This window comes from Homo sapiens, chromosome 2 (assembly GCF_000001405.40).
Source record: "Homo sapiens chromosome 2, GRCh38.p14 Primary Assembly".
Taxonomy (NCBI): Eukaryota; Metazoa; Chordata; class Mammalia; order Primates; family Hominidae; genus Homo; species Homo sapiens.
Window position 1 is genome coordinate 160435206 of NC_000002.12, and position 12363 is coordinate 160447568.

A 12363-nucleotide genomic window follows, 5' to 3' on the forward strand; every position below is an offset into this window, starting at 1 on the left:
CCATGAGCCCCTTATGGGGGACATATAAATATTTAATTGGGGTTTTATCTCTTTTTTATTGGTATACCAACAATTTTTTAATCATACAGTTATTATGCCTTATGTGTGGTCCCGAATACTTTTATTCATTTAAGTTTCACAAACACTGAGGTAGGTGGAGAAGAAATTATTATCCTCATTTTATAGATTAAAAGAAAGGCTTGAAGTTAAGTGATTTGCCAAAGGTGACCCGAACATCAGTCCTCTGATTGCTATTCCACATCTCTTTCTTCAGAGTATTTAATAAAGGAACGATTATATAGTATATTTTACTGTTTAATAGTTGGAATGCAATAGGAATGGCAGATTTTTATATTGTCCAAGCCTTAGGCTTTTCTTTGTATTTTGGAGGACCTTTTACATTAGAATTCCAGCCTTACTTTTTTCTGTCAAAAAAGGCACTTATTTTCAAGATCATCTCTGGCTATGAGAAAAGAAACCTATACTCCTCACATAAAAAGCAAGGAAAAGCAAGAAGTTATATGAGCAATTGAAATAGAATGATGGAAAATCTTGAATTATTTTAGGTCCAGACTGTATTAATCTTCTTTGCCTAAATTTCCTAGCACTCAAGAATGCATTCATTATAGTATCCTAATGACTTAGAGTGTGTAACTAAATGTTTCATCAATAGCCAAGTTATTATTTAATGAGAATGGATAATTTGACTGGGGTATAGAGGAGCAGGAGGCAGTTTTGATAAGCATTACAGGATTCATCAAGTCACCTCCATGAGTCCAAGAGATTATCAATAAAGGTTTCATGATTGCTACTTGACTTGAAAAAAGTTAAAGTCACCCAGTTTAACTGCTACAATGGTCCCTTCCAACTTAAGTAACATATGTAAGTAACTGTGATAGATAATCTCCAATGAGCCACTGTCAACTCCTTCCTTTCTGGTACTCACCAGAAAAAGTAGAATCTACCTCGTCTCTGCTCGAATTTGGGCTGGCATGGTGAGTGGCTTTGACCAATAATGTGTAGTAGAGGTGATGCTGCTCCTGGCAGCTTATTCCTCTCCTCTTGGAAGCTGACCACCATGTAAAAAGTCCAAGTATCTTGAGACCACTGACCCGTGAGAAAGGCCAAGCTCCCCGTGTAGAGAGAGAAATGCTAACAATAAAGCAAGGGGCACCAGCTATTAAAAGGGAAACCTTCCTAATATTCTAGCCCATCCAAGCTGCCTGCTGAATGCAGCCCACTGCCTCACCCAGATGATGACATGTGGAACAGCCAACTGCCCCTCCAAATTCCTGAGCCACAGAATCATGAGAAATAATAAATCATTACTTTTTTAAGCCACAAAGTTTTGGGTTGATATGTTTTATCTATTACCTTACTTGATTACCAAGCTTGCTACTTCTCCTTTTTATTCTGAATTTTAAAAGTAACTTGAAAAGTAGTAATCTCTCTTTCTCTCATTCTTAATACAAGAACTAACTTTCAGCTGTCCATTTTCACTCAAGTTTAAATATGGCTGAACACAAATATTTCCGAGGGTGCTGCTGTCATGGAAAAGGCCCACCCAGACAGAAAGCTCATCCCTGAGGTTTCCTGCTACATTCGTCCCATTCTTATTGCCACCATCTAATAAAAATAAAATTTTAAAGGAGCTAACAGAATAATGGGCTCCTGGAAAAGCATAGCCTCCATTTTCACATTGTTTGAAGACAATGTGTTTAGCAAAAGAATCTGTAGCTAAGGTCTTTATACAGAAATTTGAAGGGCAATGAAGAAAAATAACCAGACGAACCTGGGGAGCATAGCTAGAGAAGTCTACAATGCTCAAAGGGAATACTCTCCAAGGTAAAACCTACTGTATAGTGCCCCATTCATTTAGCTTGGACCCTGGAAGAGCGATGTTAAAGGAAAAAAAGAAAACTTATACAGAAATAGAATAGCAAATTGACAACTACTATCCCAAAGGCCGCCATCCCAGAACTTCATGGTTGCCCTTAGGGACACCAAACTTATCTCCACCACTGCCACCTGCTTCATTTTTGGTCTAGTTTGTTGCTCCCACCTGAGCCCTTCTAAAGGAACTCTTGAGAAGGGAGAAGTGCAAAGCCTAGATTGTTCTCATTTTTCTTGAAGTCCCTCCCAGTTTTGCACAATTAGCAAGAATAGTATATAAACCATAGGAAAGTAATATAGAATCCACAAAGCAGTCTACCTAATGCCTCACTCAATTTCAAAAATTGCCAGTTCTGTCAGAAATGTCAACACTCCAATCAAGTATTCACTACACAGAATCTTCATCTTTCCATCAGTAACAGTGAAGGAGTAACAGATGTTAAAATATGACCAACTTTGTGCCTGACAAATGAATCTTGAAATATCCGTAGCAATATGAACAAAGGCAGTATGTGAATACGACACTTCGTCTGGATCGACTTCCCAAGGGTTTGATGGACAATGTCTCAGAACATTTTTGCATCTTAAGAATGTATAACATAGATGTTCAAATTCTGAGGGCTACAGATACAAAGGAATGGTCCATATTGCCTGTGCTAAACACATAGCTGTCATTCAGGAAAAATCACAGGCACTGATTATCAAGGGACCTGAGTTATATGTCACAGTTTTTCTAAAGTCAAGTTCCAATTATCGCCATATTGATACTACCTCATTTAAGGGATTAATGATACACAAGTGAAATTCTCTAAAACAGTTTCTAAGAGCCTGACTCTTAAAAGGCAGGAGAATCACCTTGTTCATCCACTTTTACTCCTGTGATCAGGGAGATTAGCTAAGATTTTTGACAGGACCTGGACAAAAACTAAGAAATGCCTTAGGGTCCTCCTGTTCCTACCATTGCTGGAAGGGAAGAAGTCACTTTGATGTTGATACCCTCTCTAACTTCTCAAGTCCTTTTTCTTTTCAGTAGCACTGAAAGCATTCAGAAGTAAAGAATATTCTTCGAGATCATTATAGCAGACTCCATAGGGGAATCAAGTTATATAAAAAGTCCATTGTTTATGCAGACGAAAGGCAATCTTCAGAGGCTCAATACTTTCTTTTTTTTTTTTTTTTTATTGATCATTCTTGGGTGTTTCTCGCAGAGGGGGATTTGGCAGGGTCACAGGACAATAGTGGAGGGAAGGTCAGCAGATAAACAAGTGAACAAAGGTCTCTGGTTTTCCTAGGCAGAGGACCCTGCGGCCTTCCGCAGTGTTTGTGTCCCTGGGTACTTGAGATTAGGGAGTGGTGATGACTCTTAACGAGCATGCTGCCTTCAAGCATCTGTTTAACAAAGCACATCTTGCACCGCCCTTAATCCATTCAACCCTGAGTGGACACAGCACATGTTTCAGAGAGCACAGGATTGGGGATAAGGTCACCAATCAACAGGATCCCAAGGCAGAAGAATTTTTCTTAGTACAGAACAAAATGAAAAGTCTCCCATGTCTACCTCTTTCTACACAGACATGGCAACCATCCGATTTCTCAGTCTTTTCCCCACCTTTCCCCCCTTTCTATTCCACAAAACCGCCATTGTCATCATGGCCCGTTCTCAATGAGCTGTTGGGTATACCTCCCAGACGGGGTGGTGGCCGGGCAGAGGGGCTCCTCACTTCCCAGTAGGCGCGGCCGGGCAGAGGCGCCCCTCACCTCCCGGACAGGGCGGCTGGCCGGACGGGGGGCTGACTCCCCCCACCTCCCTCCTGGACGGGGCGGCTGGCCGGGCAGAGGGGCTCCTCACTTCCCAGTAGGGGCGGCCGGGCAGAGGCGCCCCTCACCTCCCGGACGGGGCGGCTGGCCAGGCGGGGGGCTGACCCCCCAATCTCCCTCCTGGACGGGGCAGCTGGCCGAGCAGAGGGGCTCCTCACTTCCCAGTAGGGGCGGCCGGGCAGAGGCACCCCTCACCTGCCGGATGGGGCGGCTGGCCGGGCGGGGGGCTGATCCCCCCACCTCCCTCCCGGACGGGGCGGCTGGCCGGACGGGGGGCTGACCCCCCCACCTCCCTCTCGGACGAGGTGGCTGCCGGACGGAGACGCTCCTCACTTCCCAGACGGGGTGGCTGCTGGGCGGAAGGGCTCCTCACTTCTCAGACAGGGCGGCTGCCGGGCGGAAGGGCTCCTCACTTCTCAGACGGGGCGGTTGCCAGGCAGAGGGTCTCCTCACTTCTCAGACGGGGCGGCCGGGCAGAGACGCCCCTCACATCCCGGACGGGGCGGCAGGGCAGAGGTGCTCCCCACATCTCAGACGATGGGCAGCCGGGCAGAGACGCTCCTCACTTCCCAGATGTGATGGCGGCCGGGAGGAGGCGCTCCTCACTTCCTAGATGGGATGGCGGCCGGGCAGAGACGCTCCTCACTTTCCAGACTGGGCAGCCAGGCAGAGGGGCTCCTCACATCCCAGACGATGGGCGGCCAGGCGGAGACGCTCCTCACTTCCCGGACGGGGTGGCGGCCGGGCAGAGGCTGCAATCTCGGCACTTTGGGAGGCCAAGGCAGGCTGCTGGGAGGTGGAGGTTGTAGCAAGCCGAGATCATGCCACTGCACTCCAGCCTGGGCACCACTGAGCACTGAGTGAACGAGACTCCGTCTGCAATCCCAGCACCTTGGGAGGCCGAGGCTGGCGGATCACTCGCGGTTAGGAGCTGGAGACCAGCCCGGCCAACACAGCGAAACCCCGTCTCCACCAAAAAAATACGAAAACCAGTCAGGCGTGGCGGCGCGCGCCTGCAATCGCAGGCACTCGGCAAGCTGAGGCAGGAGAATCAGGCAGGGAGGTTGCAGTGAGCCGAGATGGCAGCAGTACCGTCCAGCTTCGGCTCGGCATCAGAGGGAGACCGTGGAAAGAGAGGGAGAGGGAGACCGTGGAGAGGGGAGAGGGGAGAGGGGAGAGGGGAGAGGGGAGAGGGCTTTTTTCTTTTTTTCCCTGAGACAGAGTCTCTGTTGCCCAGGCTAGAGTGCAGTGGCGTGATCTCGGCTCACTGCAAGCTCTGCCTCCTGGGTTCTCAATACTTTCTTATAATTGTGAACATAAAGGATTTATCCTTCTCCATTAGGAAGCCTGACCACATGAACTTCATCTCCTATCTGAGGCAGGACCCAACATCCCTGGCCTCAAGAAACAATGCACAAGAACAATTCTGACACCTAAAACGAATCCAGCATCCCTGACTTGATGATGCTTCCACCTCAGCTCCACCTTCAGCATACACTTACCAACTGATCTTTCATCCATCGTTTGACTCCCAAGCTGAAGAACACCTCAAATACCCCAGGAAGGATCTCCATGTACCACCTTCTCCACTGGATGAGGCATGAGGGTCGCCATATTTACTGCTAGCAAAGCCTGTCCCCATCTCTCCCCCACCCTCACCAAAATCTAGTCACTCTAAAATGGCCTCTCCGGTGATGTCCCTAGATCTGCTGGCACAGAAGTGGAAATATACAGTACTTTCCATTTCCATTTCCTTAGTAGGTTGTTGACTCGAGGTCACTCTCTGTAACATTCTTTCTAGGGATTCTTATAGCACAGACGTATTTGTGCACATTGGAGGCAGCTATCACCTTCTCCCAAGAAATCTCACTTACAACATCTTCTCACATCCTCTAGGTTTCCATCTTGGATTATTCATCAGTGTGTAATCATTTTAGCAGGGGAAGGTAGATTGTTTTGCTTTTTAAAAAAATTGAGATATAATTAACAGAATAAAATACATAGATCTTAAGTGTTCAGTTCATGAGTTTTGACAATTGTATACAGTTGTGTAACCACCACTGAAAACAAGACATGAGACATTCCCTTCCACGAGTGTTCCCTCATGTCCCTTTCCTGTCAACTCCCTCTCCAACCACTGTCTGATGTCTGTCATCATAGAGGAGTTTTGCCAGTATCTGGATTTCATGTAGATGAAATCACAGGATAAAGTCGTTTTTTTGCAACTGGCTTCTTTCACTTGGAGTGTTTTTGAGAGTCATCAATATTGTTGCCTGAATCAGTTGCTTGTTCTTTTTTTATTGCTAAGTAGTATGACATTTTAAGATAATTTGTTTACCCATTCTCCTGTTAATGGACATTTGGATTGTTTCCAGTTTGGGGCTTTAAAAATAAGGCTGCTAAAACATCTTTATGTAAGTCTTTTTTGTGAACCTATGTTTTTATTTCTTGTTGGTAAATACCTAAGGGTGGTATTTCTGGGTCATACCAGGTAAATGTATTAAACGTATGTTTAACTTTTAAGAGGCCGGGCACAGTGACTCACACCTGTAATCTCAGCACTTTGGGAGGCCAAGGCAGGAGCACTGCTTGAGGCCAGGAGTTCAAGACCAACCTGGGGAACATGGCAAGACTGCATCTCTATAAAAAATTTAAAAAATTATCTGGGTATAGTGGCATGTGCCTGTAGTTGCAGCTACTAGGGAGGCTATGGCAGGAAGATCTCTTGAGCCCAAGATTTGAGGCTGCAGTGAGCTATGCTCACACCACTGCACTCCAGCCTAGGCAACAGAGTGAGACGAAAACTTTATAAGAAACTGCTGAACAGTTCTCTAACATAGTTAGACCACTTTACATTTCCACTATGATTAAGAATACCAAGTGCTATACATCCTCCCTAACAGTAGGTGTTGGCCGTCTTTTTTATGTTATCTATTCTAGTGAATGTGAAATGGCCTCGAATTATGGCTATAATTTGCATTTTCCCTGATATCTAATGATGTGAAGCACCTTTTTCAAGGTTACTAGCCATTCATATATCTTCTTTTGTGCAGTGCCTTTTCAAGTATTTAATTGGATTGTTTGTCTTTTTATGGTAGATTTGTAGAAATCCTTTATGTATTCCAGATCCAAATACTTTGTCAGATATATATGCTATGAACATTTTCCAAGTTGGAACCTGTCTATTCAGTTTCTTAAAGATAGTATATGTTGGTAAGCAGAAATGTTTAATTTTGATAATGTCCGATTTATCAATTTTTTGTTTATGATCTGTGCTTTTTATGTCATGTGCAAAAAAGCTTTGCCTACTCTGAGATCACAATGACACTTCCATGTCTTCTTCCAGAAGATTTACAGTTCCAAGTTTATATTCGGGTTTATAACTCAATTCAAATTAAATTTTTAGTATAGAAATAGGTATAAAATTTCATTTTTTTCCCAGAGAGACTGCTTCTTAGTACTACATTTGCCCATAGTTTGGGAAATAGTAGTATCCAGTGTATTTGAAATCTAATTTAAACACCTTAGTTTACATGTAAGTTGTACATGCCCACGCCATGCTGATTTTATTTTCTGCTGCATTCAACATTCTAGTAGAACTAGCCATCCCAATACTGAGAAGTATTACAAGGATAGATCATTTAAACTGCACATCCTACAGCAGCTAGAGACTTTGCGTTATATAAATATTTCACTTTGATTTTTTTAAAGCAGGAGCTCAGATATAAAAAGACTCTTAGGTTCTAATTTTAGTGAAAGTCTTATAATTTGACTCATAAGTACAACTATTTAGAATGAAATGTTTCTAAGTGTAAAATATCCACGACTTGTTCCTGTACTTGAAATGGAATAGAGAGGCAACAGGAGGCCCAACGCAGGCAGCAGAAGGCAGGAAGGAACAACCGCCTGCTAGAAAGGGCACTAAGGGAACTCATGGGCAGTTTCTTTCTTTTTTTCTCCTTCTTGTTTCTTTTTAAACCCTGCCTGCCAAATTAAAATGACCTTGAGGCTGGGCGCGGTGGCTCACGCCTGTAATCTCAGCACTTTGGGAGGCAGAGGCGGGTGGATCACTTGAGGTCAGGAGTTCGAGACTAGCCTGGCCAACATGGTTAAATCCCATCTTAATTAAAAATACAAAAATTAGCCGGGTGTGGTGGCGGGCACCTGTAATCCCAACTACTTGGGAGGCTGAGGCAGAAGAATTGCTGGAACCCAGGAGGCGGAGGTTGCAGTGAGCCGAGATTGCGCCACTGAACTCCAGCCTGCGTGACAGTGAGACCTTGTCTTAAGAAAACAAAAAAAAAAACAAAAAAAAAAACCTTGACTTACACAGAAAGAGAGCACAGCCCCTCCTCTGGACTTAGAAGCAGCCCAGAAGAACTGAAGACAGCCTCATAGTATAATGACAATCATGAAAGATTTGAAAATCAGTTAAGCATGTGCTATAGTCTGAATATTTGTCCCCACCCAAATCTCATGTTGAAATGTGATCTCCAATGTTGGCGATGCAGCCTGATGGGAGGTGTTTGGATCGTGGGGGTGGATCCCTCTTGAATAGCCTGGGCCATCTCCTGGTGATGAGTGAGCTCTTGATCTGAGTTCACACCGAGATCTGGTCATTTAAAAGTGTGTGGCACCTCCCCCCACCCCCACTCTCTCTCTGGTTCCTGCTTTCGCCATGTGAAGTGCCTGCTCTGGCTTTGCCTTCTGTCACGAGTCAAAGCTCCCTAAGGCCTCCCCAGAAGCTAAGCAGATGCCGATGCCATGCTTCCTGTACAGTCTGCAGAACTGTGAACCAATCAAACCTCTTTTCTGCATAAATTACCCAGCCTCAGATATTTCTTTATAGCAATGCAAGAATGGCCTAGCACAGTGTGCTTTCTGTCACATTTTAATTCAAATTCCATTAACACAAGAAATAGAATATTGGTCAATGAATTAGGCCACTCTACTTTACTTGTAGAGTTTCTGTACTTGTAGTACTTGTACTTCTGTACTTCTGTACTTGCAGAAACTCTACTTGTAGAGTTTCTGGTAAGATGTCAACTGCTCTCTACTTAGCTTTCCCAGATACTAACTCAATGGGGATATCTTTGACCCCAAACTCTCTTTAGGAAGAGTCCAAAGATTGCTGGATTTCTTGTTATGAATGAAGTACTTTGATTTCCACAGTAATAAGGTCTACAACAACATTCTGTTTTTTATTGTACAGGTAGAAAACCAGTGTGTGTGTGTGCGTATAAGAGTTAAGTGGGAAAATGGAACAACTTCTTTACAAATATTATAAAATACATTGTATAAAATAAAACACACTCTATTCCCTTATATTTAAGCATCTATCAAGATTCATGGAGAAATTTTTCAAAGCATACTCTGAATCCTGATGCCAAAAATCATTTGATATGTAAACATAAAGTACGTGGAAACCACATACATAAAATCATAAAAGTCTCAGCTAAAAGCACAAATATCTAGTTACATATTTATTAATAATAACTAACTTTTATTGAGCACTTTATAAATGCCATATACTGTTCTGTGTACTTTGCGTGTCTTACTCAACTCATTTATTCAACATGATAAAGCTGTGAAATTACTATCGCTATTCTCAGTTTACAGAAAACCGAGAAACAAAAAGGGCAACTTGCCCCGGATTACATTCAAACTCAGGCAGTCTGACTCCAGAACCCACTGCCTTTGTGCTGTGCACTGAACTGTGTCTCCCAAAAATGGCTATGTTGAAGACCTTACTCCTACTATGACTGTATTTGGAGACAGGGGCTGTAGGAGGTAATTAAAGTTAAATGAGGTCAAAAGGCTGGGGCCCTAATCCTACAGGTCTGGTGGCCTTACAAGAAGAGGAAGAGAGAGGAAGAGATCCCCCAACCCCAGCACCAAACACATATGCACTAAGGAAGGACACATGCGCACACAGCAAGGAGACACCCTTGGCAAGCCAGGAAGAGCCCTCACTAGAACCTGACCATGCTGGCACCCCGATCTTGGACTCCCATCCTCCAGAACTGTGAAAAAACAAATTTCTGCTGTTTAAACCACCCAGTCTATGGTATCTTGTTATGGCAGCCCGAGCAGACTAATCAATCCACTCTGGAAATTTCCCTTCCCAGAGACTTCCAAATAAGGGGAGAATCAGAAAGAATAAAAGATCTAATTTTTACTCCACCTATAATTTCTTCTCATACTAGTACACTTGCCCCCTTTTACCTTTTCACAGGGTACTAAAAGCAACTGAGAAACTGAAACCTTATTGGATTTTATCATTATAAATATTCATAGATATTTTTTAATATTCACATCAATACATGCAGGTTAAGACATGTTTACTACATTGATCTTTGCAAAAGAAACATAAAAGCTTCTGATCAATATAAATGTAAAAGTTTCTGGTCAGATTTTTAGCATAACTAGATTTTCAGGCAAAGACTCTGGGACTAAAATGGAATAAGAATGAAGACCTTAAATGATTGCTGTTACAGTGTTCCTGATTTATTAAAAATAATCACAAAGCATTACTAGCAATGCCAAATCTCTAGCATTCTGATCAGTGAAAGGAATTATCAGTGTCTAAAAGGTCTTTGTCAACTCTAACATCTATAAACATTTAAGTGGTATTGAGCAGATTCCATAATCTGATCTGCTTTTAACTGTGGAAATCAATACAGTTATTAAGAAGCTATTTGAATAATTCATGTTGTAAGTGAAGGCCTTCAGAGTAGCCACAATGTGCTTGCATCTTAATGGTATTTTAAATAAAGTTGTGTCTTGCTACAATGCACATTTAGTAAGCAAGACCAATCCCCATCCATCAGTTCAGAGGCGGTGATGAGAGAAATTCTGACAGTTTCAGAGGAACAACTAAGCTATCTGGTTTTTATAAATAAGGGAGTTAAGGGAAAGTTTCTTCTCCCAGTATCTCAGAGGAAGATAGTATCTGCCTTTTCATTCACCCCACTGCCTTGTTGCTGAGGTCTGACATTCTCTTGGAGATACTGTTCAGTGATATCACTGCAAGGCCCATCTGGCTATGTTAACTGGATTAAATGCATATCCATCAGCTCCAAAAAAAAAAAATGTATTAAGTGTCAAGTGGTTAACTCCAGGTAAAGACATCTGGGCAAGAATAGTTTTCTTTCTTTGAAAGTTTTTCAACCTTATATCATTATCATAACGTTTCCCTCACATTGAAATCAGAGTTTAAATAACACCTACCTTCAAAAAGTTTTACATTTCAGACAAGTATCAAAGAATATGAGACTATAAGCAGAGGCTCCAAAAGTTACCTAGTCCCAGCCTCATCCAATACTTGAACCCTGTCTATGACAGTCCCTCCATGTTAAGAACCAGTCTATTTGAACTCATCCTGTTCATAAACTCATTGCCATCTTCTCCAGGATTGGCCGATTGCTCTTCAGGCAATTATGACAAAGCTCTTCCTTATGCTGAGCCCATATCTGTCTCCCTACACTTCTACCTGTTTGTTCTAACTCACCCTTAGGGGTCACTTAGTCAAGTAGGACACCTCTTTTACTTGCGATCCTTTCTGACACTTGAAGGTAGAGATTATGGTCTTTCTTTCCTCTTAGGCCAAAGCGTTCTCAGCATCTTCACTTTTCTCATGCTCTGTTCACATCCATGGACACATCAATATCAATGGAAGGGTCTAAGATATATACCTTTGGAAACCGTGTATGTGAGAGAACCCAGTGGACATGTCCACTATCAAAACTTATCTCTATTATAAGAAATTATTTCTGTTTTAAACTAATTACCAGATACCAGCTAGCACCTTTTCTTTGTTGTTTGTCCACCCCATTTTACTCCCCATTCCTCGGACTGCTGTCCCCTCCGGTTGACAGGGCTTTCCTCTCCCATCCCACAAAACGTTCCACATGCTTGCCTTGACTTTTCTCTCCATTCTTGTCATGAATACTGCCCTCTACTGCCGCTGCACCCTGGCCACACCAGACTACTGATTGGCGCCTGAAAGTTCCAAGCTTTCTTGCCACCTCATGTTGTTCTCCACCAACACCACCTTGCACCCCTTCTTCATGTAACTAATGCTTACTCCAGGCAGGCAGCCTGAGAATGCAAAGTAGAATGTGTTAATCAGTATAGACGAAGTACTTACGAAATAACCTTCAAATCTTAAGGACACAGTGAAAGTTTACTTCTCATTTATATTCCAGTTCAATAGTCCAGGGGCAGGGATAGTATTTCTAGGTGGGCGAGTGAGCTACACATGGCCATCCTTCAAGGTCCGAGAATGTGGCCACCTTCTACACCTGACCTCCAAGGTCATCTCAGAAAGTGAAGAAAGATCATGAAGGCTTGTATAGGAGATTTTATGCCCAGGCCAAGATGTAGTATATGTTCCTTCTGCCCACATTCCACTTACCACAACTCAATCACAGGCCTCCAAACTTACTGCAAAGAAGCTAAGAAATGGAGCTGCAGGAAGAAAATGAAACAGGGTTGCTAAATTCATAATTCTATTTTGTTCTTCGTGAAAGTCTATGCTTACTGATATTACTAGAACTGGTATTTTTAAAATGATACAAGAATATACAGTATTAGAAAAGGATACTTATAAAAGGATAAAAGCACTGCTCCACTGGGTGGTGAAATTCTGCA

The 12363-nt window shown here is 43.0% G+C and overlaps 1 protein-coding gene and 1 pseudogene across 3 annotated transcripts in view, besides 2 other annotated features; both read right to left on the reverse strand.

Moving 5' to 3' along the window:
* RBMS1 (RNA binding motif single stranded interacting protein 1) overlaps positions 1-12363 on the reverse strand; it is a 221657-nt gene that overhangs the window by 163055 nt on the left and 46239 nt on the right. The gene's annotated exons all lie outside the window — the stretch shown is intronic.
* On the reverse strand, positions 2224-3056 carry LOC100419108 (centromere protein L pseudogene; annotated as a pseudogene).
* Positions 4059-4632: an enhancer, noted in NCBI's record as "H3K27ac-H3K4me1 hESC enhancer chr2:161295775-161296348 (GRCh37/hg19 assembly coordinates)". NCBI's record gives its function as "activates a minimal SCP1, AML or CMV promoter by ChIP-STARR-seq in primed H9 embryonic stem cells {active_cell/tissue: H9 hESC(primed)}" and the evidence as "EXISTENCE:reporter gene assay evidence [ECO:0000049][PMID:30033119]".
* Positions 4633-5204: an enhancer, noted in NCBI's record as "H3K27ac-H3K4me1 hESC enhancer chr2:161296349-161296920 (GRCh37/hg19 assembly coordinates)". NCBI's record gives its function as "activates a minimal SCP1, AML or CMV promoter by ChIP-STARR-seq in primed H9 embryonic stem cells {active_cell/tissue: H9 hESC(primed)}" and the evidence as "EXISTENCE:reporter gene assay evidence [ECO:0000049][PMID:30033119]".